The 26,961-nt window shown below is 58.9% G+C and overlaps 1 protein-coding gene and 1 non-coding gene across 4 annotated transcripts in view, besides 5 other annotated features; both read left to right on the forward strand.

Moving 5' to 3' along the window:
* Window positions 1-26,961, forward strand: part of COL18A1 (collagen type XVIII alpha 1 chain) — a 108,556-nt gene that overhangs the window by 47,943 nt on the left and 33,652 nt on the right. The window contains 9 exon segments of one of the 3 annotated variants that reach the window (NM_130444.3): window positions 2,415-3,774; window positions 15,135-15,679; window positions 20,788-20,874; window positions 22,369-22,428; window positions 23,244-23,373; window positions 24,304-24,380; window positions 24,643-24,858; window positions 25,220-25,246; window positions 26,795-26,857. In NM_130444.3, the coding sequence (NP_569711.2) occupies window positions 2,424-3,774; window positions 15,135-15,679; window positions 20,788-20,874; window positions 22,369-22,428; window positions 23,244-23,373; window positions 24,304-24,380; window positions 24,643-24,858; window positions 25,220-25,246; window positions 26,795-26,857 (2,556 nt within the window). In that variant the 5' untranslated portion in view covers window positions 2,415-2,423. 3 annotated transcript variants of the gene reach the window in all.
* Window positions 1,806-2,362: an enhancer, noted in NCBI's record as "H3K4me1 hESC enhancer chr21:46874827-46875383 (GRCh37/hg19 assembly coordinates)". NCBI's record gives its function as "activates a minimal SCP1, AML or CMV promoter by ChIP-STARR-seq in primed H9 embryonic stem cells {active_cell/tissue: H9 hESC(primed)}" and the evidence as "EXISTENCE:reporter gene assay evidence [ECO:0000049][PMID:30033119]".
* Window positions 12,155-12,719: an enhancer, noted in NCBI's record as "H3K4me1 hESC enhancer chr21:46885176-46885740 (GRCh37/hg19 assembly coordinates)". NCBI's record gives its function as "activates a minimal SCP1, AML or CMV promoter by ChIP-STARR-seq in primed H9 embryonic stem cells {active_cell/tissue: H9 hESC(primed)}" and the evidence as "EXISTENCE:reporter gene assay evidence [ECO:0000049][PMID:30033119]".
* Window positions 12,720-13,283: an enhancer, noted in NCBI's record as "H3K4me1 hESC enhancer chr21:46885741-46886304 (GRCh37/hg19 assembly coordinates)". NCBI's record gives its function as "activates a minimal SCP1, AML or CMV promoter by ChIP-STARR-seq in naive H9 embryonic stem cells {active_cell/tissue: H9 hESC(naive)}" and the evidence as "EXISTENCE:reporter gene assay evidence [ECO:0000049][PMID:30033119]".
* Window positions 17,729-17,948: an enhancer, noted in NCBI's record as "active region_18590". NCBI's record gives its function as "activates an Ori minimal core promoter by ATAC-STARR-seq in GM12878 lymphoblastoid cells {active_cell/tissue: GM12878}" and the evidence as "EXISTENCE:reporter gene assay evidence [ECO:0000049][PMID:35858748]".
* Window positions 21,741-22,241: an enhancer, noted in NCBI's record as "H3K4me1 hESC enhancer chr21:46894762-46895262 (GRCh37/hg19 assembly coordinates)". NCBI's record gives its function as "activates a minimal SCP1, AML or CMV promoter by ChIP-STARR-seq in primed H9 embryonic stem cells {active_cell/tissue: H9 hESC(primed)}" and the evidence as "EXISTENCE:reporter gene assay evidence [ECO:0000049][PMID:30033119]".
* On the forward strand, window positions 25,159-25,219 carry MIR6815 (microRNA 6815). Its single transcript, NR_106873.1, has one exon. It is a non-coding gene; the product is annotated as a microRNA 6815 (primary transcript).

Genomic DNA, 26,961 nt, shown 5'->3' on the forward strand with positions numbered 1-26,961 from the left:
TTATGTATGTGTGTGGGCTTGTGTATGCGAGTATTCACATGTGACATGTGTGAGCATGTATGTGTGTGTGATTGTGTATGCATGTATTCATGTGTGACATGTGAGCATGTATGTACATGTGTGTGCTTGTGTATGCATATGAGCATTCATGTCTGGCACGTACGCTTATATGTACATGTGTGGGGGCTTGTGTATGTGAGTATTCACATGTGACATATATGGCATAGCTAAGCATGCATGTGCATGTGTTCATGCATGAGCAGGAGTGAGCATACATATATGTGTGCATATGTGGGTGTTCGTGTGTGAGCATGTGCGTACACATGCGTGCGTTTGAGTGATGATGTGAGGAGGCTTATGTAGTAGCCACCCTTGCCAGGTGCTTCCTGGTGGGAACCAGATCCCGGGGGCTGAGCTGTGGAGCCGTGGCAGAGCCGCACTAGGATTTCCAGGAGGTTAAACGTGCGATGCTGTGGAGGTGCTTGGAGGTGAGGGAACCCCAATGGTGGACAGGAAGCTCTCAAAGCACTTAGAGGTGGAGGAGTCCTGGACAGTGGGCAGGAAGGGTGGGGTCAGGAATGGAGTGGGCAGGGGAAGGGTGGAGGGAGCTGGGCACCCTGCAGATGGCAGGGTGGGTGCTCAGTGCCATGGGGCTGCCACCATCCTCCAAGTGTGGCCCCGAGGGCCGGAGCTGCTCTCCCTCCATTGCTAGGCGTAATCAGTTCCTTGTGCCTGGCTCTGCCCAGGAGGTGTATATTGGGGGGCATGAATGTAGGGCCAGCCCAGCTGGCCAGTGACCCTCTGAGCACAGAGCCTTCGGGATGGGGCTGGGGGTGTCCCCCACAACAGAGTTCCCTTCCTGAGATGCGCTGGTGGAGGAGGGGGCAGTCTCTGGAATTTCTGTTTGGAGACTTTCCGGAGGCGTGTTCAGACATAAAATCACAGCAGCAGCAGTCAGTTTTCAAGCAAAGAGACTTCTCTGGGCATCTCTGAGACGAGTTTGAGCAGTGTGGGGATTCGTTTTGGGAGCACGGCCTCACTGACATGCAGATGTTTGCTTGTGGAATGCCTGCGCCTGCCCTCGAGAAGGAGGTGGCACTCAGCTGCTTGAAACAAGGCTGGGTCCCAAGCAGCCCAGCCCTGCCCTGTGGACAGCAATCGACCGATGGCTACAGCATGTCCTGACCTGGGGACAGCTGGGGACAGGTTGTGGGGCTGTTTCGTCACAGCTGCTGTCACATTAACTGACCCCAGCCCTGGGGGAGGGTGGCTGCAACCCCAGCCGCACAGCCTGGAGGAGGCAGGGTGACGAGGGACTCCAGCTGGGGGAGCTGGCGTGCAGAGCACTGAGGGGGTGGGTGGATTGTGGGGTGAAACCTGGGTGTGTGCGTGTGAGGATGCACATGTGTGAACGTGTGTGTGAGTGAGCACGCCTGTGTAAACTGCCTGGCTCCACCTCTGATGGGCTCCGTGATCTTGAGCGGGGTCACCAGGCTCATGCCTCAGTTTTCTTCATCTGTGAAATGGGCCGATGGCCAGGCTGCACACAGGTCCTCAGAGGGCATAAGGCACACTCAGCACCCACTGCTGTGCCTGGGCAGCTGGCGGGGGGGCACAGCAGCCACTCACATGCCACTCACATCCCTGTGGGTTACCGGCTGCCTGGAATGTTCCAGTCTAACCGGATCCTTTTGTGGACGGGGAGACTGAGGCCGGGAAGGAGTATGCATTCCTGCCCTGGTCCCGGGCTCCGTCTCTGCTGGGTCTCCTGGGCAGAAGGTCAGGAAGGGCTGAGAGGGACACAGTCCAAGGCAGGTAAAGCCCCAGCTTTGAGGGGAGGCACAGCAGCTCTGAGAGGGTCTGAGCCCCTCGAGACCCTCCCCGGGATGTTTAACGACTTGGGCAGCCATTGCAACAGTGGAATTGGCACTGCAGCAAGCTGAGCATTTTTTCGGTTCCAAGTTTCCCACAACACAATGGCTCCAGGCCAGGCGCCTCTGGGCGTTCCAGGTCAGAGGGGGAGCAGGGGCTGGGGGCCGCTGCCTCAGTGCTTCTGGGATGGGGTCCTGGCTTGGAGCCCCAATCCAGAGACTCAGCAGCCCTGCCCCGGCAGAGCCTAGCGGAGCACGTTGGGAACCCTGTGGACACTGCACACAGCACCCTCTGTCCTCACGGAGCCTGGGGCTGCTGCAGGGCCGTGGGAAAGAAGTTATAAATCCTTGGGTGCTGGAACCCCCGGGTGCTGGGCACCTTGATTCCAAGGCTGGTGCCTTCTTTCCTTCTGCAAGAGTGGGGGGTGGAAGACAGCCGGCCAGAGGCTGGGAAGCCTGCACAGGGGAGGGCAGGAGGGCGTGAGCCTGGCTAGCCCCACCTCCAGGCACAGAGGCCCTCCCGCCGCCCGCAGCTCCAGCCGCACTGCCCCGATGGCTCCCTACCCCTGTGGCTGCCACATCCTGCTGCTGCTCTTCTGCTGCCTGGCGGCTGCCCGGGCCAACCTGCTGAACCTGAACTGGCTTTGGTTCAATAATGAGGACACCAGCCATGCAGCTACCACGATCCCTGAGCCCCAGGGGCCCCTGCCTGTGCAGCCCACAGCAGATACCACCACACACGTGACCCCCCGGAATGGTTCCACAGAGCCAGCGACAGCCCCTGGCAGCCCTGAGCCACCCTCAGAGCTGCTGGAAGATGGCCAGGACACCCCCACTTCTGCCGAGAGCCCGGACGCGCCAGAGGAGAACATTGCCGGTGTCGGAGCCGAGATCCTGAACGTGGCCAAAGGCATCCGGAGCTTCGTCCAGCTGTGGAATGACACTGTCCCCACTGAGAGCTTGGCCAGGGCGGAAACCCTGGTCCTGGAGACTCCTGTGGGCCCCCTTGCCCTCGCTGGGCCTTCCAGCACCCCCCAGGAGAATGGGACCACTCTCTGGCCCAGCCGTGGCATTCCTAGCTCTCCGGGCGCCCACACAACCGAGGCTGGCACCTTGCCTGCACCCACCCCATCGCCTCCCTCCCTGGGCAGGCCCTGGGCACCACTCACGGGGCCCTCAGTGCCACCACCATCTTCAGGTAGAGCTTCTCTCTCCTCCTTGCTGGGCGGGGCCCCTCCCTGGGGAAGCCTGCAGGACCCAGACAGCCAAGGACTCTCGCCCGCCGCAGCCGCTCCCAGCCAGCAGCTCCAACGCCCTGACGTCCGCCTGCGCACGCCACTTCTGCACCCCCTGGTGATGGGCTCCCTGGGCAAGCACGCGGCCCCCTCCGCCTTCTCCTCTGGGCTCCCGGGCGCACTGTCTCAGGTCGCAGTCACCACTTTAACCAGGGACAGCGGTGCTTGGGTCTCCCACGTGGCTAACTCTGTGGGGCCGGGTCTTGCTAATAACTCTGCCCTGCTCGGGGCTGACCCCGAGGCCCCCGCCGGTCGCTGCCTGCCCCTGCCACCCTCCCTGCCAGTCTGCGGCCACCTGGGCATCTCACGCTTCTGGCTGCCCAACCACCTCCACCACGAGAGCGGCGAGCAGGTGCGGGCCGGGGCACGGGCGTGGGGGGGCCTGCTGCAGACGCACTGCCACCCCTTCCTCGCCTGGTTCTTCTGCCTGCTGCTGGTCCCCCCATGCGGCAGCGTCCCGCCGCCCGCCCCGCCACCCTGCTGCCAGTTCTGCGAGGCCCTGCAGGATGCGTGTTGGAGCCGCCTGGGCGGGGGCCGGCTGCCCGTCGCCTGTGCCTCGCTCCCGACCCAGGAGGATGGGTACTGTGTGCTCATTGGGCCGGCTGCAGGTAACTGGCCGGCCCCGATCTCCCCACCCTTTCCTTTTTGCCTTGCCAGGTAAGTGTGGGCGGGGCTGACGTGAGCCTGGTACAGGTTCCCCCCACATCGAATCTCTACGTTCAGGGGCCCGTGGCCCTCGGGAGGTGGGAGAGCTGGGAGTGAGGCCTCCTGTGTGGGGAGGAGGCCGGCGTCTGGACAGGAAGAGGGCTGGATGAACCGCAGCCGATGTGTCCAGGTGCCACCTGGGCCTGGAGCTCCCTGAGCATTTTAGCGCATTTAGTCCTCAGCACGGTCCCGAGATACCCTGCCATGCCCCGAGTCACAGAGGGGAAACTGAGGCGTGGGGCAGTGGCGTGACTCACCCCAGGGAGCCGAGATTCCCGCTCAGGTGTGGCTGCATCGACCTTGCTCCGGTCACTAAGCTGCACGGTTCGATGCGCTTCCTGGGAGCCCCAGCGTGCTCGGGCCAAGGGTGCTGCCGCGTGGGCAGTGCAGAGACCCTACCAGCGTGGGGACCAGGGAGGTCTGCAGGGCCCGTCCTGAGAGGGAGCCTTTCATGTCCCCCTCCCCATCCTGAAGCACACAGCCTCCCTGCCACAGTGGGGGCCGCTTCTGGGCCCAGGGGACGTTGCCCCATCACCGTGTGGCCTGGCCTTGTTGCTGGCTGGACAGTTGGGGGCAGGAAGAGGAGGGAAAGGGGGACTCTTTAACCTCCTGGGGGCAGGGGCAGCCCAGAAAGGACCCCAGCAGATCCCTCCTCTGTGTCCGGGAGTAGACGGGGCCCCTGAGCTGTGCCTGCCCCATTCAGATTCTGCTTGCTATGTGCACCTGGCAGCCTTGGCCCAGAGGCCCTATCCCCGCAGGGTGAGGTGCTCTGTCCTCCTCTGCTGTCCTCCCCATAGTGCCGAGGGGAAGCAGCCTTGCTGTTTGCTCTTTGGGCTTTGGGACAGGGTTGGTGGGGGTTAGCAGCTGTGCCGGACCTGGAGGTGGGGGTGCCTGCAGTGGAAATTCTGGTGGACGCCCACCCACCAGGCTCCGTGAGGGATGACGAGCTTGGTGATTCCCCTTGAGTTTCAGGCCAGTGACCGTTTCTCTCAGCAAAGCCCAGAGCCTCTGCAGACCCTGTGTGGGGCCTGGGGAGTGGCCGGGGGGCCACAGACAGGGCAGGGACAAGTGCTGACAACAGGTGGTCCCAGGAGTAAAGCCCACGTGGGCTGGAATGGAGGGGCAGGGAGGGAGGGAGGGAGGGAGGGCTGCAGCGGGGCCTGGCTGAGCCTGAGGGGGGCACAGGAACTGCGCTGGGGGGGCCTGGTGTGTGCAGGAGTGGGGGCCCTTGTGGATGCGCCCCAGAAGCATAGGGCTGGAGCTCTCCGAGGCAGGGGCCGTGCCCGCGGCTGTTGGCATCTCGTAGGGCTGGAGCTCTCCCAGGCAGGGACCGTGCCCACGGCTGTTGGCATCTCGTAGGGCTGGAGCTCTCTGAGGCAGGGGCCGTGCCCACGGCTGTTGGCATCTCATAGGGCTGGAGCTCTCTGAGGCAGGGGCTGTGCCCGCGAATGTTGGCATCTCAGGGCTTAGATGTCACCCCCAGGGCAGCTGGCACTGCCACAAGCAGCCAGATTCCTGGGTCCCACTCATCCTCCGTCCCTGGAACACCCAAATGCCCAGCAAGCACCAGCCGCCTTGCAGGCAACCCCCCCGGAGCCACACCCCACCTGGCTACTGTTCCCCACCAAGCATGTGGGTAGGGCAGCCTTGCAGGAGCCGTACTGACTGGAGGGACCCGGGTCCGGTGTCCTGGAGCCCCGGGAGGCTCCAGCACAGCCCACCTTGTCCTCCACTGCAAGCCCACGGAGGCAGACAGGACAGCGGTGGGCTGGGAGGGCTGCAGCCTGTGGGAGGGGAAACGCCAGGCCTGCACACCTGACCCTGCCCTAGCCCTGCCAGCCCGAGACTGTCTGGGATCAGCTGAGCACTGTGAGCAAGCTTCAGCCTCAGGGAAGGTGCCGGTCTCCTGGGAGTTGGGGCACAGCTGCATGGCTTGGGGGCTGGGGTCCGAGTGGGGCTGTGAGGGCGAGGAATTTCTGCAACTGCAGCTGGCCCGGTCGGTGGCACAGCCTGATGGGGACTTTTCACTGAACATCTGGACAGCTTGGTAGCGTCCCCGTGCGAGGGAGGCCGTGTCCCGTGCAGGGTCCTGGGGGACTCCATCAGCGTTCCTGGCCTGCATTGCCTCTGGCCAGGGGTGGGCCTCAAGCTTTATCAAGGAGCCCCTTCCCAGGTGTGGCCTGGCCGGGAGGGTCCTGCCCCCTCTTCTGGCCTCTCAGCTCCTCCCCAGCCCAGGCTCCTCTTGGGTTAGCCCCAACTCCTGCCGGACCCCTATGTTGGGCTGGACACTCCCAGCCCTGGGTGAGGGGCAGGAGGAGGAGGGGGAGCCCAGCCTGACCCCTCGGGCAGACTTCGAGGCCCCGAAAGTGGGGGTGCTGGGCTGTGATCCGGGCACCAGAACAGAGCCCTCGAGGCCCACAGAGGTCCCTGGCTGCATCTCCAGGGATCAGGGAGTATGTGCCCCTGAGGGGAGGGGAGCTGGAGGGGTCCTGCTGCCTCCTGCCCGGCTCCATCTCCAGCGCCCCCTCCACCTCGTCCTGGGCACTGCCCTGTGTGTCCACCCCGCCGGCCCACCTCGAGGAGAGTGTGGGGGACAGTGCAGCCGTGCTGGGGCGTGGGGGGCGCTCAAAGGGAGGGTGAACCCTGTGGTCAGCACACAAGCAGGGACCCTGTGGAGGGTTTTGCTGTGTTGTGGGCTTGTCCCTCAGGTCCACGAGGAAGGGAGTGAGGCCCCCTCACACGGGAGGGCCGGGGTGGGGTAGGGAGGCTCCCTTGCTGCAGCTGCCAAGAGTGAGCGAGCGGGGCTTGGGCTTGGGCTGCCCGGGACACTGCCTCCAGGAAGCCCCCTGGGCTGTCTCAGTGGGACTCTGTGAGTGACACATGGAGCTCAGGTCACAAGGGCTGTGGGAGTGTCACCCCACAACAGCAACGGGTGCCTGGCCCTCTGGACTTTGCTCTCTACACCCCTCCTGAGCTCTCACAAACCCTGGCCCCTGGGACCGGAGGCAGGTGATGTTTCCAAGGAGTCCTACAGGCAAGCATCCTCTGACCTGGGAGCTGCGTATTGTTCCCGTTTACAGGTGAGAAACTGAGGCCTAGGAAGGACAGACACGTGTGCGTGCCGCAAGTGTGGCTAGCAAGGAGGGAGCCTGGAGGAGGGCCCAGCAGCCTGGCCCCAGAGCGCTCTTCAGCATCGCAGCAGATGCAGGACAAGCAAGCTCCCAGCCGGGGAGCACCAGGAGACCAGCAGGCATCCACCCTCGTGGTGCAGGCCATCTGATGAGGGCAGGGACCAGTGCCGGGATGGATAGTGCCTGTGCACAGAGTGGGGCGCAACTGGGCACAGCTGCCACCGGGGTGCTCGGGAGGCAGGTCCACACACACGCCGGCCAAGTCGCTCATCTCAAATGCACGAGTCCCGTGATCTTGGAAAGTGGTGCACAGGCCCCTGGGCTGGGGCTTCCTCTGCCTCCACCCCCATCACTGGACATTCGGAGGTCAGTGGGAGGCCACGGGAGTGCACGTGAAGGTCATGTCACCATGATGGCCCCGAGGGGCTGCTCCTTCATCGCTCCTCCCTACCCCATGGGCCAGCCACTGGCACACAGGTGTCCTTATATGGTGCTTACCTCTTGCTCCTTTAGTCAAATGCAGAATTTGAGAAAATGTCCCTTCTCCTTAAAATGCTTTGATTTGTTTGATGTTTCCATGTAACTTTGGTTTAAGAAGGGAGAAGACCACTCTGGGAAATAACTCATGCTTATCTCTCACCGCTTGGCAACCTACAAATATTTTTTCGATGATGCTGGCTAAGCTTCTCGTAAATTCTCCATGCCTCTTAGATGCACCAAGAGTGACTCAGCATTTAACTCCTACTGGAGTGTCAAGGGCCCAGTGCATTGGGTGCAGTTGTCTGTGGGTACAAGATCTTGTGTGATTCTGAACTAAGCACAGACAGAATGAAAAGCACAGCACTCCAAACAGGGCTTCCTGCAGGTCCTTTTACGTATATTTGGGTTTTTGTATATATCTAAGGTCAAGCTAGTGGACATCTATCACTTCAACCAGTTACCGTTGTGAGTGTGGTGAGAAAACTTAAGATCTACTCAAGTTTGAAGTGCCATATGCGATACAGTATTCTAGCTGTAATCACCATGTGTACATTAGACCTCTAGAACTTACTTTTCCTGCATAACTGAAACTTTGTACCCTTCGACCAACAGTCACATTTCCTCTTCTCTGTGGGCTGGCCTCGGCTGTGCCCTGTTAGCATTCCCAGATAAACAAAAGCTAAGGGGGTTAATTGCCACTAGACCTTCCCTGCAGGAAATGGTCCAGTAGTCCAACAGGCGAAATGAAAGGACACTACTCAGTAACAGTAAGTCAAGGAGGCCCCCGTTGCCTATGCACAGAGTGGGGTGGCAGCTGTGCCCCATTGCACCCCACTCTGTGCATGGGCACCGTCCATCCGGCACCAGTCCCTACCCCTTATCAGATGGCCTGCACCATTAGGGTGGACACCTGCTGGTCTCCTGGTGCCCCCCTGCAGGGCTCTTCCTTGTCCTGCATCTGCTGCAATGCTGAAGAGCAGTCTGGAGCCAGGCTGCTGGGCCCCCCTCGAGGCTTCCTTGCTAGCCACATCTGTGGCACACACGCATATTTGTCCTTCCTAGACCTCAGCCCCTGACAACCACCATTCTACTCTGCTCCTATGAATGTGACTTTTTTAGATCCCACATGTGAGATCATGCAGTATTTGCTTCTATGCCTGCCTTATTTCCTTTAGTTTAATATCCTCCAGGTTCATTCATAAAAAGTGCAGTTACAAACTGTTGTTGCAATACCAGCTTTTATAATTGCCCATGTATTTACCTTTATTGAGATCTTCATTTCTTCATGTGACTTACTGTTATTGACTAGTGTCCTTTCATTTTACCTGCTGGACTCCCTGGACCATTTTCTGCAGGGCAGGTCTAGTGGCAATTAACTCCCTTAGCTTTTGTTTATCTGGGAATGCCAATTTCTCCCTCACTTTTGAAGGACAGTTTTACTGGATATAGGACTCTTGGTTAACAGTTTTTTTTTTCTTTTAGTACATTGAATATATTGGTCCACTGCCTTTTGGCTTCCAAAGTTTCTGTGACAAATCTGCTGATAATCTTATTAAGAAGCCCTTGGATGTGATCAGTTGCTTTTCTCTTGCTGCTTTCCAGATTCTCTCTCTGTTTTTGAAAGTTTGATGATAATGTAACTTGGTGTGAGTCTCTTTGAGTTTACCTTACTTGGAGTTCCCTGAGCTCTTAACTGTTTATATTCATGTCTCCCAACAAATTTGAGAAGCTTTCAGCCATTATTTCTTCAGATAGTCTCTCTGCACCTTTCTTTTTCTCTTCTGTTTGCAGCTTCCACGGCATGCATGCTTCCTTGTCTCTTGATGGTGGCCACAAGCCCCTTAGGCTCTTTTCACCTTTCTTTCATCTTTTGTCTTTGAAAATTTCCATTATCTTATCTTCAAGCTCATTAATTTATTCTTTTGTCTGCTCAAATCACCTTCAGATTCCTCTAGTGATGTTTTCAATTTCAGCTATTGTACTTTTCAGTTCTGTAATTTCTTTCTGGTTTCTTTCAAGGTTTTTATATTGATATTTCCATGTTGTTCATACATCACTTTCTTGACTTTCTCCACACCTTCCTGTAGTTCTTTGAGCATCTTTAAGACAGTCATTTTAAAGTCTTTGTCTAGTAGATCTGCCATCAGGTCTTTTGCAGAGACAGCTTCTGTTAATTTATTTTTCTCCTTTGAATGTGCTATATTTTCTTATTGCTTTGTGTGCCTTGTGATTTTGTGTTAAAAAGTGAACATTTGAACTCAGTAATGTGGCTCTTGAATTTTGCCCTTCACCAGCGTTCGCTTTTTTTTGTTACTTTTTAAAAAATGTTTTGTGTCTGTGCCAGAAATCTCCCTTAGGTGTGAACTTCAGGTCTTCTCAGGTCTTTTCTGAGCCTGTCCCTTTCCCTGGGTGTGTGCAGCCACTTTCTAATTTTCCTCTTACATGCTGCTGTTTTTCAATGTCCCGTTCTTTCATGTTTGGCTCCCAAAGGAGGAATAAGATAAAAATGAGGGAGAAAAAACAGTGCCAGCCCTCTAAATCCCCTTCAAGTCACTTCAGCTGGAAGGGGCAGCTTGCAACAACAGAGGGAGTGTAAAACAATGGCCCCACCTCCCTGTCTGCACATCTGTGATCCCAGGCAACCTGATCAGAGCACAGGTTCTCGATGTCTGCAGGACAGGGTCCTTTTTGCCGTCCTGTTTCCCACAAGCTGTGTGGCTGCTGCTCCAGGAACTCGTGCATGGCACCTGCTATGGGAATGGGGGTGGAGGATGGATGTGTGGCTGCTATTGTGCCAAGAGCTGGGGTTTAGCTAAATTAACCACCCGTTACCGTCCAAGCCTTCCTGTGGACATTGCAAGCTTTCAGTAGACTCCAGAGTTCCAAAAGAGTTCTAAGACAAATTCTGCCCATGCACTTGTTAATTAGTTGGGGAGATGGATTCCTGGCGCTTTCCATCTGCCATTTACCAGAGTACTCCAGAATCATTTTCAAACACGTTTCTTTCTGTCAAGAAATCAAGTCTTGGCCAGGCATGGTGGCTCACGTCTGTAATCCCAGCACTTTGGGATGCCGAGGCATGCGGATCGCCTGAGGTCGGGAGTTGGAGACCAGCCTGACCAACACGGAGAAACCCCATCTCTACTAACAATACAAAATTAGCTGGGTATGGTGGTGCATGCCTGTAATCCTAGCTACTCGGGATGCTGAGGCAGGAGAACTGCTTGAACCTGGGAGGTGGAGGTTGTGGTGAGCTGAGATTGCACCACTGTACTCCAGCCTGGGCAACAAGAGCGAAACTCCATCTAAAAAAAAAAAAGAAAAGGAAAGAAATCAAGTCTTGAGGCATCATCATTGTTATATCATGTGCAGGTGTCTAGCCTGGATGCCACCCAGCTATGCCAAATGCGGGGAGAAACTCCCTATGGGCACTGTGGCTGGGTCCAGAGCTCAGAGGCTGGAGCTTTGAGAACTGGGCTGGAGCCAAACCATGATGGAAGCCTCTAGCTCTCAGGAAGAGACACACATCTGCGGGGGCAGAGTGACCACATTTCCAGGTTGCCCAGCCCTCGGGAGTAGCACAGTGCCCAGGCACTGGGGCAGAGGTGGATCCCGTAGTCCCTCGGTGGGAGCTCCAAAGCCTCCCGTTTTCATCTCTTCCTCTTCCCAGGATGGGATTTTGGGGATGAGATCTTCCTGGTGGGCTGGAGTCTGTCCCAGAAGTCAACAGCCCAACCTGGGGCCAAAAAAGACCCTCTTAGATAAGGCAGGCCCTCGGCAAGACTCCAGCCACACATGAGAGGGTGGAACAGAGCTCCTGAGTCCCACTAACCACGGCCACCTGCAGTGGTCAGGTGGGGGCACCGTGTCCATCCCCCCATGGGTTTGTGCCAATTTGCATATAGGTATGTAGCTTCCTATTGGCGACTGTAAGAAATTGCCACAAATTCAGTGGCTTAAACCAACACAGCTGTCTTACCTTTCAGTTTTGGAGGTCAGAGTCTGAAACCAGTTCACTGGGCTGAAACCAAGGTGTTGTCAGGGCTGGGTCCCTCTGGGACTCTGGAGGAGAATCTGTTTTCTTGACTTTTCCAGCCTCTAGAGGCTGCCGCTTCCCTTCGCTCAAAGCCCCTTCTTCCCCCTTCAAAGCCAACGGTGTTGGACAAGTCCTCATGGTGCCATCTTTTGTCCTTCGATTTTAAGGCTTTGTGTGGTTAGAAGTGGATCATCTCCCATCTCCAGGTCCACAGCCTGAGTCCCAGCTGCAGCATCCCCTTGCCACGTAAAATTACGCTTGTGGGTTCCAGCTGTTGTGCCGTGGACATCCTTGGGGCCATGGCTCTGCCCACCACAGTTTGTCCATGTGCACGGCTGCACATGTGTACATATGCATGGGAGTCTTACTTTGCATTAATGGGATTGCCCTGTGTCTGAAAGTTCCTCTTTCCTTTATCCTGCATCTCAGGAGTCTCCATAACTCCAGGGAGATGCTCTGCTCTTCGTGTTGTTCTGGTCTTTTCCTCAGCCCTTCCTGACTGAAGCACTCGCAGGTATTTCTGCTTCTCTGTATAACAGATGACCCTGCAGACACCTGCTCAGCCCCGACTGGCGGGTTCATCGCACAGCCTCGCCTTTGTTTATCAGACACCAGCTGAGCCACCCCACCTGTGCCTGGCGTGGGTTTTGGGTCAGCGCTGACGGTGGAGAGATTGAATGTTGTAAACGTGTCCGAGTGTCAACAGGAAGTCTCCACCCGGGGACAGGGGCCCGTTTCTTAGGTTGTTTTTAGCCTTCCGTGGGGGCTCTGCAGCCTTGGGATTTGGTGGAGGTGTTTGTTCTGAGGCCGTTTTTCTTTGATGCCAAGATGTCCCCCCGGGCACTTCACTGCGTAAGTGCTATGGTGTGATGGAGTGATGATGGTGGCGCACTCTTCAAGCTCTGGATCAGGTTCCGGAAGCTCTGTGTGAGTCTTACTGAGGTGGTTATTTTCTCTTTTCCCTGGAAAGTGGGCTGAGAGCACTCCATGTGGGCACGAGCGGCCCTGGCTCTGCAGGACTGGAGGGGGCTGTGCTGGAGGGCGGGGGGCTGGCCAGGCAGCCTTGGATCTTGTCCTCAGGAGCCCTTCAAAGGGGCAGCAGAGACTCCAGGCCCTGTGCCCCGAGGAGTCAGGCTGGGCTGGTTCTGGGGAGTGTCTGGAGCACCTGATGCTGAGCACAGGCGGGCGTCCGTGGAGTGCACGTGTCTGAGGGTCTCTGAGGGGTTTGCCCTTTTCTTCGGAGCCACGGTGGCCGTGAGGGATGCAGGACATTGGGTGTGGCCCTCGAGGACTGGCCTGTCTGGAGCCCACTCCCCCGTGGGTGAACGCGGCTCTTGGTGGAGAGCCCAGTTTGGGGAGAAGGGACGGTCTTGTCCTGGGAGGTGTCAGACAAAGCCGAGCATGGGACTCACAGGAGACCCCCAGTCAGGCCGTGTCAGGGTGAGGCTGGGAGTGAGGGTCCTGGAAAGTCCGGCTTCTGGGAGAGGGCGCTTTGGCTCAGAGGCTGCCACTGCAGAAGGGATGGACGTCCCCGGTCCCCTAAGATAAGGGACCCAAGGGGAGGGGCGGGGACGTTCCACACTGGTGTGAGAACAGCGGAGAGTCCCAGCCAGAGGTACCCGCTGCTCTCCTGCGGGGAGGATGCTGGCTGCACTGTCTGTCCTGGGCATATTTAAAGGGGCCTCTGTTAACACACACAGGCCTCCAGAACCATCCACACTTCTGGCTGGCCTGATTCCTGAGGGGGAAATGGTCTTTAAAGAAGCAAGCACCTTGATCCAAAGGGAGGTGGTCCAGCAGGAGGGGCCGCCCCACCATACCCAGGAAGGTTGAGCTCTCGCACCCGGGAAGGCTGAGCTCTCGCACCCGGGAAGGCTGAGCTCTCGAAATGGGGTTCAGGCATTTGCTGTTTGATTCCAGGACATCTGAGACAGCTGGGCCTGTACCTCGGGGAGTGGAGGCTGCGCCATTCTCTGCCCATCCAGCATCTTAGGGCCGGGCATTTGGAAGCTGGCTTCTGAAGGGAGCCCCCAGGAGCTTCGTGGAGAGGAGACGGGACAGCTTTGGAAAGGGCGTTGCTGTCACTGGGGTCCCTGGGGCCGCCGGTGTAGCGTGCTGGTACCCTCCAGCCCAGGAAGGTGGCAGCTGCCGCATCTTGCTTTCCCAATGACGGAATGTTCTAGGAAGGGTGGTGGGAGGTTTCTCCAAGGTGAACGCGGGGGCAGCTGGGTGGCTGGCACGGCCTCTGGCCCCCAGGCCGAGTCCTGTTTCCTGATCTTATCACAGCCCCAGCTTGGACATGTGGGACCAGGCACTTCTTATGAGAAAAAGGATCATTGTAACAGCTGCCATCTGGATGGACGATCATTGTAACAGCTGCCATCTGGGTGGACGGCGGCCTCTGTCTGAGGGGGATGTGACCGCTGGCCCCCAGAGCCCAGGCTCAGCCCGTTGGGACCCCTCTGCCCCTGGCCCAGACTGTGGCTGCAAAGCCCGGGCTCTGCCTGGCACGGCAGGTGTGCTGGGAAGTCACTCTGAGCAGGGTCTGCCCTTGAGTGGGTGCTGCCCCCCTCCCGTGGGCAGGAAACGAGGTGTGAGAACTCTGGGCACCGGGGCTGCGTCCTGGCTTGGGCTCCCTGGGCGAGGGATGGACAGGGCTCCTTCTGACCCTGGGCTACTGAGTCGAAGTGAAGTCAAGCTCCGCCTGGGCAGGAATGAGTGGAGTGAGTCACCCGGCGCTGTGGGGCATTTGCACGGAGCAGCGGGGCTGGTGGGGAGACTGTGGCACGTTGGCAGGTACGTCAGGCATGCAGCCCCTCCAAGGGGTGATTGTGGCCCCGAGGGGAATCAGCATGGGGGGGATGGGGAGATACAGCTTGTCCTTGCCACATGAAGCACCTGGCCCAGCAGGTGAGCCGGTGACCGACAGCGCTGGGTGAAATCCCGCACCGTGTCCTCAGATGCCACGTGGAACCCCAGCTGAGGCAGCCACTCTGGGCGACGCCCCGTAGCCGAGGCTTCGAAGAACACTGGGGTGTGGGGTCAGCCTCCCTCCTTCCCTGTGGTGGAACTGTGGCTTCACAGTGGAGGCCAGGCTGGGGTGCCGGCCTGGGCTGCTCCAGCAGGGTCAGAGTGGGCGGGCAGGGCACAGGGCCGGGCGGGAAGGCTGCCAGCCCCAGCCCCTCACAGCTCCTTGCCCCAGCGGGGGTGCCGGCCAGTCCCTGGTCCCTTCTCCCCACTGGCTCTGCCCATCAATGCTCAAAGCATGGAAGGGGAAGCCTGTGGACACCATGTCTGCTGTGCCCATCCCTGCTCAAAGCATGGAAGGGGGCCTGTGGACACCATGTCCCGTGCAGACACCATGTCTCCTGCAGACACCATGTCCCCTGCACACAGGTTTCTGCATGGAGCCTGCCTGTCGTTTGGGAATGAGTGAACCAGGGTGGCCGTTGGGTGGCTGAGCCCAGGGGATCAGGGCAGGCTGCCAGGCACGTGGAGAGCCCTCCCAGACTCAGTTTCTCCTTTCTGCCCCTGCCTGGCTGCCTCTCCAGGCCGCGTCGGTGGCCCCTGGTTCCGTCCTGCACAGCCACCTCACCAGCTGTCTTTCTTTTTGCAGAGCGCATCAGCGAGGAGGTGGGGCTGCTGCAGCTCCTTGGGGACCCCCCGCCCCAGCAGGTCACCCAGACGGATGACCCCGACGTCGGGCTGGCCTACGTCTTTGGGCCAGATGCCAACAGTGGCCAAGTGGCCCGGTACCACTTCCCCAGCCTCTTCTTCCGTGACTTCTCACTGCTGTTCCACATCCGGCCAGCCACAGAGGGCCCAGGGGTGCTGTTCGCCATCACGGACTCGGCGCAGGCCATGGTCTTGCTGGGCGTGAAGCTCTCTGGGGTGCAGGACGGGCACCAGGACATCTCCCTGCTCTACACAGAACCAGGTGCAGGCCAGACCCACACAGCCGCCAGCTTCCGGCTCCCCGCCTTCGTCGGCCAGTGGACACACTTAGCCCTCAGTGTGGCAGGTGGCTTTGTGGCCCTCTACGTGGACTGTGAGGAGTTCCAGAGAATGCCGCTTGCTCGGTCCTCACGGGGCCTGGAGCTGGAGCCTGGCGCCGGGCTCTTCGTGGCTCAGGCGGGGGGAGCGGACCCTGACAAGTTCCAGGTAACCCCCACTGTGCCGTCGCTGGGGGACTGGAGCAGCTGGGATGGGGTGGGGTGGGGGTGGCCACTGGGACAGGGACGGAGCTGTGGCCGGAAGAGGAGAGCCCCCACCCCAGCTGTGGTCAGCCCGGGCCTCCAGCGCAGGCCTCCTGGGTTCTTGGCTGCTCAGCCCTGGCCTCCGGCGCAGGCCTCCCGGGTTCTTGGCCGGCCTGGCTGGGGTGGCATTCACTTTCTTGGCTCTCTGGCTCCTGCGCCCCCAGGAAGGGTAGCCCTGGGCTTCCATGGTTTCTCTGAGACCCCGAGGCCCAGCCCAGGAGGGCCCTCTTTGAACGACTTTGTAACTAGACATCCACCCCAGCCGTGACCCCGTGACCCAGAGACACCCCCAGGCCTGTGCCAAGCCCTGTGGTGAAGTGGGGCTCCCGGCCTCTGACCGGCCGGTCGGGTAAGTGGGGACCGAGTCCAGGCCCAGCCACACGCCTCGTGGCCCCATGCAGAATGAAAGCTGGGGTCCTTGTTGAAAACGATGAACGATCCAAAGCTGGCGGCAGCAGGGTGTTGATCCCAGCAGGGTTCTCCTGTGGTAGCTGCACACCCGCTGGGACCAGGGGCTCAGGGCGGCCCTGCAGGTCAGCACCTTTAACAAAGGGTGCAGCAACCCACGCCTGTGAGACTCCACTTTGGAGCACGTGGTGGGAGTCCCCCAGCGGTGAACGCACGTGGCCGCCTCCACCTGAGTCTCCGGGAAGTCCCTCCAGTGGGCCTTCATTTCTTGGGGTTGGGGGGGTGGACAGATCCCTAAACCCATGTGGGGTCTGTGTCCAAAGCCCCTGCATTTCTGGGAACCTTTGGCTGGGAACAGCCACGTGGGTGACCTCAGCTGGCACTGTCTCACAAGTCCCTGAATTCTAGCATTCAAGCTGGCCTGCAGCTGGACGCCCCTGCCCTGGCGGGCCGCAGGGGACAGAAGGTTAATTATTGCCCAGACAAGGGCTGTTTGTTTGAAGTTGTTCTAAGTCCTGGTGTCTGGGGGTTCTGAAAGCTGACTTTTCACCTTTGGCAGGAACTTTTAACCCTCAGAGCTCAGGAGCCGCTAGGACGTTGACACCAAACTGGGCCTCTTTGTTTTCCTCTTGATCACAAACATGATTACCGGGAAAGAAGTCAGAGTCACCCCCTCCAGTGAGAGGCAATTTGTTGTGTGAGTCCCCAGCCGTTTCTTGGTGGAATAAAGTGGCCCACAAGTGCCGTACATCTTTAACACTGTTAGGAAAAGCGGCTGAGTGCCGAGAGCTCGGTACGTGGGTGCACAGCTGTGCCCCGATGGTGCTAGGGAGAGCCGGGCCACCGCCCTGCGGTGAGGGCCTCCTCATCAGCGAAGTCCCGTGTGTAGGAAGAGGGGGTCTGGGTGTTTAATTTTGCATTTCTTGGACTGTGAAGATAGACTTTCATTTTGTCACTTGTTTATTGTCTGTTTGTATTTCTTCCTTTGTGACTGACCGGTTTATGTTCTTTGTGGTTTTCAATGGGCCCAACTCTCAGTGATTTATACAAACTCCTTATCTTTAAAAGAAACTTCTCTTTGGTTTTGCATGCTGCAGATTTTATTTCTACCATGTCATTTGCCTTTTTACCTTGTCTTTTTTTTTTTTTTTTTTTTTGACTATTGGGATTGGATGTGTGGTTTTTTTGTGGGTTTTTTTTTTGTTTTTTTTTTTTTAGATGGAATCTCGCTCTGTTGCTCAGGCTGGAGTGCAATGGGGTGATCTCGGCTCACTGCAACCTCTGCCTCCCAGGTTCATGCGATTCTTCTGCCTCAGCCTCCCAAGTAGCTGGGATTACAGGCACCTGCCACCATGCCTAGCTAATTTTTGTATTTTTAGTAGAGACGGGGTTTCACCATATTGGTCAGGCTGGTCTCGAACTCCCGACCTCAGGTGATCCACCCGCCTAAGCCTCTCAAAGTGCTGGGATTACAGGCGTGAGCCACTGCACCCAGCTGGGATTTGATGTGTTTATGTGGTTAAATCTGGCCTGGAGAAGACACCATGACTTACAACAGCCCAGTGAAACCTTGGAAGGTCAGAGAGCTGGAACAGGAGGGAGCTAGAGGGCCCTGGGTCTGGCCCTGGGCTGGGGCCCTGCTGGGCGTGGGTGGCGTGCAGCAGGCCGTGTGCTGCTGGGCGTGGGTGGCGCGCTACAGGCTTCGTGCTGCTGGGCCTGGGTGGCGTGCTACGGGCTTGTGCTGCTGGGTGTGGGTGGCGCGCTACGGGCCTTGTGCTGCTGGGCCTGGGTGGCGCGCTACGGGCCGTGTGCTGCTGGGCCTGGGTGGCGCACTACGGGCCTTGTGCTGCTGGGCGTGGGTGGCGTGCAGCAGGCCGTGTGCTGCTGGGCGTGGGTGGCGCGCTATGGGCCGTGTGCTGAGGGCTGTGTTGGTTGATCTCTGTGTCAGGTCCCTGCAGGCCTCAGGTGTCAGGAACTTTCTCTTTGGGTCTTAGATGAGATTCCAGCTGGGGAGAGGAGAAGCATGCTTGTGTGGTAGAAAAGAAGACAGACTTGTTCAGCACAAGATTTTCTCAGACTTCTGAATTGAGATACTTGGGAAAGAAACATTCAAGTTGTGTGACTCATAATTTTTGGCAGAAACAAGCACAGAGCTTTGGGAGCAGGGAGGAAACCGAGGCTTCCTCCTCCTCAGCCTCTCCACAAGACTGCATCGACCCTGGCGCTGCCACAGATGGTGCCTGGGACCCCCGGCCGCAGCTGGGTCCAACAGAGCCCTCCGGAGCATTGGTTGTGTTCCTCGTCCTAAGAGTCCTTGGGCGTTGTTGGTCTTTTCAGGTTCACTTTCTTGAGTCAGGTTTGTCAGTGGTCGTCTCCCGGGAAATCATGCACCCCTCCCAGCTGCTGCCGTTGCCTTGAACGTCATTTCCAGCTGTGTCCTGATTTCCAGCTGTGTCCTGATTTCCAGCTGTGTCCTGATTTCCAGGGCGCTGAGGCTGCAGCGTGTCGGGAAGCATTTTACATGCTCTTCCCTCACAGAATTCCTGTGAGCTCTGTTTCAGGTGTCTCCGGATTTCATAACTTTCAGTCCGAAGTCCCTTAAATATTTACAATGGGCCTGTGGCTTTTGCACTAGCGCCTCCTGCCCCACCCCCGGAGCCAGCGGCCACCACGGGCTCAGAGCTTCTCTGCCCTCTGTAGTCGCCCCCCACCCAGGCACCCTGTAGCCCCGTGCAGGAGGCGTCGGCCCCTCGGGGGCACTCTCAGGAGAGCGCTGTGGCCACCTGTGGGGGGGTCAGGGCCTCACGGGCCTCTCTGGACAGTGCATGTCTGTGTGGGGATCGGGTGTCAGGAATGCCCAGTCCCTCCCCGACACCAAGACCACCCAAGATGCACCCCCCGCCCGGGCTGCCCCAGTGGAGAAGCGCAGTTTTTTTTTTTTGTTTTTTTTTTGAGACGGAGTCTCGCTCTGTCGCCCAGGCTGGAGTGCAGTGGCACGATTGCGGCTCACTGCAAGCTCTGCCTCCCGGGTTCACGCCATTCTCCTGCCTCAGCCTCCCAAGTAGCTGGGACTACAGGCGCCCGCCACCAGGCCAGGCTGATTTTTTGTATTATTAGTAGAGACGGGGTTTCCCCATGGTCTCAATCTCCTGACCTTGTGATCCACCCGCCTCGGCCTTCCAAAGTGCTGGGATTACAGGCGTGAGCCACTGCGCCCGGCCGAAGCGCAGTTTTCTAGAATTCAACCCCAGCTCCTCCCTGGGCCTGACCTGGGGGCTCCTGAATGTGAAGGCTCAGCTGCTGGGCTGCTGCCCCACCCCCACGCAGTAGGTCCTGGTGGACAGTGGACCCTGGACCCCACGGTGCTGCCCCTGGCCGACCTGGGGGCACTGTAGGCAACGCCCTCCCCCGCAGTGTGACGCTGAGAGCCGCTGGTGCGCTCTGTGAGGCTGAGAACCGCTGGTGCGTTTTGTGGGAAACCTGTGGGAAACCCAGGGGGCCCACAGGGTCCACACCCCCCCACGCATGAGCTCACACGCGTGCATACGTGATCTCATGTTTGCACACATGTGTCCATGCAGATGCATGCTCTCACGCACATGTGCCCACACACTCAGCACTCACACCCCGTCCTGCAGGCTCAGCCCCACTCCTGAGCCACCTGCCTGGGCTTTGGGGGCCCAGCCGGCATGGGGAGCCCCAGGCTCCAGCTGGCCTCGCTTGGCTCTGAAATCTAGGCCAGGATGCAGAACCCGCAGTGCGGCCAGTGGAGCCCCTGGTACTGTGCGCAGCCCCCACCTGGCAGCCCCTTTTCCTGTCAAAGCCCCTCCCAGCGTCCTCTCCCCACCAGGCAAGCTACCCGCTTGAGGCTTAGGACGTTGCGCCCTCCTGTGTCCTTGCCCAGCATCCCCGGCCTGCATCTCACCAGGCACCGCCGGCCGCGCCAGGGCCCGAGAGGGCAGGGTCAGGCACCCTGGCACTCAGCCCAGGACTGAAGATGCCAGAGGGAGCGGTGGGTAGGTGGGTGAGTGAGTGAGATTGGGTCCGGACGGAATGGGCGCAGAGATCCAGGAAACTCCCCTACATCTGCGGCGTTTCTGTCCTTGGCTTCTGGGTTTTGTTTTTGATGAAAAGGTGAAGTTCAAAGAAAGCAAAGCCATGGTGCCACCTCGGTTGGTCCGAGTCGGGAGATGAGGCCGCCTGGTGCTTGCGTAAAGCTCCCGGGACTTGGGGTTGGGGGACTTGACCTGCAGCCCCTCGAATCTGCCCGCCCTCCCAGGCCTTGGATCGAGCCACACCTGCTGTGGTTCTAAACCCGTAGCCCTCAGGTGGCCCATCAGCTGCCTCAGATGAGCCAAGTCTGAGGGAGCAGCCTCCGCCCAGCCGGGTGCTTTCCACATGAAAGCGCCCAGGACGCCCCTGGGTCTCACCACTTCTTCCTACCATGAGGCATACCGCACCCCCAGGGAGGCTGCCCGAGACCCCTTCCCTCTCCGAGACTCTCCTGCCCTTTGTGGGCCCCCCGAAATCTGGAGCTCAAGCAGCACCGGGGTTGCCACTGCCACCTCAGGACCGCTGGTGACCCCTTTCTCTGTCTGCATTTAGGGGGTGATCGCTGAGCTGAAGGTGCGCAGGGACCCCCAGGTGAGCCCCATGCACTGCCTGGACGAGGAAGGCGATGACTCAGATGGGGTGAGTGACATCTGGGGCACGGGTGGGGTCTCCCCTCAATCCCTGGCACGCGGAGTTCAGGGCCAAGGTCTATGACAGGAAAAGTCCCAAAATATACCACTTGGGGCACTGGGAAGCTGCGATACCATTTCTGTGCTCTCCTGTAGCACCTCAGAGCCCTTCCTTGCCCTGAACTTTCCCATAAAAACAAATACAAAGCATGATATAAACACCAGAAACCACCCTCCATGGCAGCTGGTGAGACAGAGGATGTGAGGCAGCTCAGCAAAGTGTGTGTGTGTGTCTGTGTCTGTGTGGTGTGTCTCTGTGTCTTGTGTGGTGTGTCTCTGTGGTGTGTCTGTCTTGTGTGTTGTGTGTGGATGTGTGTGTGTCTGTGTGGTGTGTCTGTCTTGTGTGTTGTGTGTGTTGTATGTGTGTCTCTGGTGTGTCTGTCTTGTGTGTCGTGTGTGTCTGTGGTGTGTCTCTGTGTGTAGTGTGTCTCTGTGTGTGGTGTGTCTCTGTGTGTGTGGTGTGTCTCTGTGGTGTGTCTGTCTTGTGTGTTGTGTCTGCATGTCTGCATGGTGCGTGTGTCTCTGTGTCTGTGTCTGTGTGTTGTGTGGCGTGTGTGTTGGTGGGGTGTGTGGAATCACGTGGTACCCAAGGGGAGAATCCCCCAGCCCCAGGTGTGAGGAACAGCAGGGAATTCTCACTCAGGGGCCCAGATCACAACATGCCCCACGTGAACATGGACCCACAGCCTCGCTCCTGGGGGCGTGGGCAGGAGACGCCGTGGACGTGGACCCACAGCCTCGCTCCTGGGGGCGTGGGCAGGAGACACCGTGGCTGGACTGTGGGCAGTGTGTGAACATCCATGTTACTTTCATGCTTTTTCTTTATTTTGCCCAATAAGCCCGTTGTTTTTGCCTGGAACATGCCAGAAGACGCCAGATCGTTCACATGGCGGCCATGACAAGGCTGCGCCCTGGGACAGCTTGCTGGGTGCGGGGGGTCGCCGAGGCGCCGCACCCCTCCCCTGGCCTGTCTTGCCCTCAGGGGTCAGTAGCGGTCCCTGAGGATGTTTCTCCTCCGGGTTTTCCTGAAGTTTAAAACATCCAGCCGCCTTGGCGCGTGTTCGGCCCAGCCGGGCGTGCGCTGGGGAAACCTGTGCGGGGAGCATCTGCGGTGCGGCCTCCTCCAGGGCAGGGCTCTGGCCAGAAGAGAGGAGCGCGTTCCCCCTCCCGCCTCCGCATGTCTGACCACCGGCCGAGGCAGGTTCAGAAGCGTCACTGTCCTCGACCCGATTGGACACGACTTACTGAAGCTCAGATGGTGCCTGGGCAGGGAAGGCCAGCGTGCCCACCCCAGCGGCCCCCCGGAGAGCACCAGAGAGGGCTGGACGAGGCGAGAGGGGGCCTGGAGGAGGCGAGAGCAGCGTCCTTTGCTTCCCAGGCCTGCCGGGCTCGGGGCCTGGCCTGGCTGCCATCTCTCCAGCCTTTCCCTTTTCAAACTCCTCAGGCATCCGGAGACTCTGGCAGCGGGCTCGGGGACGCCCGGGAGCTTCTCAGGGAGGAGACGGTGAGTAGCCGGACGGGGCCCAGCCCACGCTGCAGGGTCCCGGGAGAGCCCCTCCCAGCAGTGGGGTGACACATGTGCACACGCAGGTGTGGCTCCAAGAGCTCCCTCTATGCCACGAAGACATATTCCTGGCTGGGGACAGGGATGCTGGGCTGGGCAGACGCTCGGAGCCTGGGCACAGGCCCCGCTCCGGCCCTGCCTGGCCGCCGCGTGTCTCTGGTGAGAGGATATTCCTTTAAAACGAGGTCCTGCCCTGCACACTCCTTGGTCTTCGAGGCAACCTTGGCCTTCCCTTCGCCCCATCCCTCCGTTAGCTCGTGCGTGGCCATCAGGGAATGAACGCGTGTGTGAGCCTGACGACCAGGAGGAGAAGGCGGCGCAGGGAGCGCGCGGAAGGCTTTCCCCAGCTCGGGCCACCTGAGAAAACACAGGAGGGGCGGGGAGTGGGGAGGCCCCAGCCGCGGGACTGAGGCGCGGTGCTGTCCGTGAGAGACGGGTGCGGGAACGTGTTCCCTGCGGGGACCCTCTGCAGATTCACATCAGCTTCCCAGCATGGCCTGTCGGGCGCCGGGAGGCCTCTGTGGTGACGGCAGGCGCGGTCCTGGGTCCTGGGGAGCCGGGGAGCCCACAGGCGGCCACACCCCTGCGGCCCACGGAAGGAAGCCCCTCGCGCACGGCCCTGGAGCACCCTCCTGTTTCAGAGGATTTTTCTTTATCTTTCTTGCGATCTTAAGTATTTCATTTCACAAACCAAGCAAGTCTCCACCGGGCATCTGCCGGCCGAATAACAGGCCACCTCCCCTCTCGTCCTCCAGGGCGCGGCCCTAAAACCCAGGCTCCCCGCGCCACCCCCCGTCACCACGCCACCCTTGGCTGGAGGCAGCAGCACGGAAGATTCCAGAAGTGAAGAAGTCGAGGAGCAGACCACGGTGGCTTCGTTAGGAGGTAAGCTCTTTTCTGGATGTGGTGTGTGTGTGGTGTGGGGTGTGTGTGGTGTGTAACGTGTGTTTGTGTGATGGTGAGGTATGTGTGTGATGTATGGTGTGTGTAGTGTGTGGTGTATATGGTACATGTGTGTGTGATATGGCACGTGTTTGTGTGAAATATATGGCAGGTGTTTGATGTGTGGTGTGTGATGTGCATGTTTGTGACATGTGTGATGTTTATGTGATGTGTATGTAGTGTGTATGGTGCATGCATGTGGGCATGTGTGTGTGCAGTGTGTGGTGTGTGTATTGTGTGTGGTGTGGTGTGTGTGTTGCGTGTAGTGTACGTGTGTGGTGTGCAGTGCATGTTGTGTTGTATGTGATGTGTAGTGTGCGTATTGTGTGTATGTGTGTGATGTGCATGTGTAATGTACATGTGTGTGATGTGTATTATGTGTTTTGTGTGTGTGTGTGTGTGTGTGTGTGTGTGGCAGGTGGGGAGATGCCGAGGCCCGGATGGTGGCTCTGGGTACAGGCTCTGGGTGTTCACTGTGCTTCTCTTGCAGGATTTCTGTTGGTTTTCATTTTTATTTTAAGTAAAAGTTAAGAGGGAAAAAGGAAAAGGGACAAAGCATGCTGGGTGATAAGAAGGCATTCTGGGGGGCCAGGGTCTCTTGTAACAAATTCAGGAAGCATCTCCCAGACTTCAGCTGTCATTGGCTTAGATGGCCACACCGGCCTCACTGTTGATTTTAAATTCTGTCTCCCTGTTGCCTTTGCCTGGGAGCTGGAGCTCAGGGGAGTGCGGCCTGAGGCTGGGGATCTGACAGTGTCCAGCCGGGCTCCAGGACTGAAAGCGTTTGGGCTGCCGGGGCCGTCTGGGGTGCCGAGAGCAGAGCTGGGGCCACCCGGGGGGCGTGACCGTGGCCACCTCTGCTTCTCTTCCCAGCTCAGACACTTCCTGGCTCAGATTCTGTCTCCACGTGGGACGGGAGTGTCCGGACCCCTGGGGGCCGCGTGAAAGAGGTAAGGCCACCTCCCTGTGCTCCTGAACCATTCTGAACCAGAGCACCTGTGGCCTTTTGGGCCACTCACTGGTGAGCCCTGATGAAGCCCCTCTGTGCCCGTGCCTCCTTTGTGCCCAGCACTCGGTGCCAGCATGCGTCCACCCTGCGTGTCCACTGTGGGAAGCAGCCCAGCCTGGGACTCTGGAGGGCGCAGCGGGACACGTGGGCAGGGTGTGTGGGGCCCCACCCCAGCCCGAGCCCTGTGTTCTGTTTATTCCCAGGGCGGCCTGAAGGGGCAGAAAGGGGAGCCAGGTGTTCCGGGCCCACCTGGCCGGGCAGGCCCCCCAGGATCCCCATGCCTACCTGGTCCCCCGGGTCTCCCGTGCCCAGTGAGTCCCCTGGGTCCTGCAGGCCCAGCGTTGCAAACTGTCCCCGGACCACAAGGACCCCCAGGGCCTCCGGGGAGGGACGGCACCCCTGGAAGGGACGGCGAGCCGGTGAGTCCTCACGTCCCCCCGAGTCCGGCCCGGTCTGGAGGGTGGGGGCTTGGGTAGGAGGGGGAGAGGCTGCGGCCGACATGGGAGTGAGCTGAGCTGGGATCGGGGCAGGTCAGCAGCCTCCTTAGGCCCACCGTTGCTCGGGGTTGGTGCTGGAAGGTGGTCAGACGTGGGAGGCGGAGCTGCTCAGACACAGCCCTTGTGGGTGTGAGGAGGCTCCTGGCGCGGGTGCGAGGACATCGGGGGAAGGCGTCTGCCGCCTCGTGGGGACTTGGAGCGTGGGGTGCATTTCCATGTAGACACTGTAGGTGGCGCCGGAGGAGTCATTTCCCATCACTAATGGCTTCTCTTGCACACCCAGGGCGACCCCGGTGAAGACGGAAAGCCGGTGAGTCTGCTTTTCTTTCTGACCCCTGTGTTATCTGTGATGTTTGCTTAGACCCCAGGGCTTTGTTGCCAGTGACACTCTTTTTAAACGCGACCCAGTGAGGAGACTGTACAGCAAAACCATTTTGAAAGTGGAATTTTGTAAAGAAAAGATGAGTGTAACTGTTGATGGGAAATAGCAGTTATGCATTTGTGTTGAGACATTTGGGCCACAACTACCATGAAGAAGGAAAGGAAGTGAGAAAAGGCAGAGCTTCCAAACCCTTAGAGGGAAGACGCACAGCAAAGAAAAAGGAAGTCGGGCGGGGCAGGGGGTGGTGCAAGTCGGCGGGGGAGGGAAGCACGGGGCGACCTGAGACTCTGTGAAGTCCGAGCTTCGTCGCAAAACACGCAGTTCAGTCTTTAAAAATCAGCAAACACCGTTTCCAAGCACAGTAATGACGTGATCGACTGCGAATAAAGACCTGGGAACAGCCTGCCCAGCAAATGGTAACACTCGGCAGAAAGTGGGGCCGTCACGAACGCTGGACAGGAGGGTTCAAGTTAAAAACAGTCTAGAAGGTCTGAAAGGACAGGGAGGGCATCTCATGGTGCCCACCGAACGGTCATTACCGACCGCCTGGCACCCCACAGCCAAGCTGCCTGCGATGAGGACCACGGCAGACAAAGGACAGTCGGCTGGGGGGCGGCACGGGGCCCACCCACTGCAACAGGGTACACGCACGCGTGTGAGTGTGGGGTGATGATCCACGGGGCCCACCCACAGGGCACACACACGTGTGTATGTATGTGCATGTGTTTGAGTGTGTGAATGTGTGACTGCGCGTGTGTGTGGGGGGGTGAGGATCCACACGTACACATACCACACATGCACACACAGCACATATCACACACCACACATTACACACCACACGTGGACACATGCACACACATTACACACATGTGTGCACACACCACACATTACACCACACGTGGATACACTTGCATACACACACTACACACACGTGTGTGCACACACACCACAGGTGGACGCATGCACACATGCTACACGCACGTGCACACATCACACGTGGACACATGCACACACACCACACATTACACATACCACACGTGGATACACACATACACATACCACGTGTGCACACATGTGCACACCATGGATTATGCACACCATACATGCACACTCACACATCACACATACATATCACACATGTACACACCACACTCCTCACACACACACCATGCATACCACACACACACACACATGTATGTAACACCCAAGCACCAGCTGTTGTGGAGGCCTTCGGGGAACCTGCTGTGACCTCCCGAGGGATGCTGCCCGCAGCTTCCCCCAGGCGTGGCTGGCGAAATGGGCTCAGGCGGGAGACAGTCTGCTGGGCCTGGCGCCCTCGTACTTTCCGGGCCCCAGAGACTCCCCTGAAGGGCTCAGCTCCCGTCCGTCCCCTGCTTGGGGGAGGAGCACTGAGAGTGCTGGGTGCGGCCCATGGTGGTGCCTTCCCTGACCGGGCCCCCGGATGTTGTGTTCCAGGGCGACACCGGGCCACAAGGCTTCCCCGGGACTCCAGGGGACGTAGGTCCCAAGGGCGACAAGGTGAGTCTCCGTGGCTGGGTGGGGCCCCTTCCTGTGTTGGCCCTTGGCTCAAGGTGGGGGCTGTGTGCGTGCCCAGGGTATGATAGGCTTGTCTTGTGTTCCCA

Source organism: Homo sapiens, chromosome 21, assembly GCF_000001405.40.
Source record: "Homo sapiens chromosome 21, GRCh38.p14 Primary Assembly".
Taxonomy (NCBI): Eukaryota; Metazoa; Chordata; class Mammalia; order Primates; family Hominidae; genus Homo; species Homo sapiens.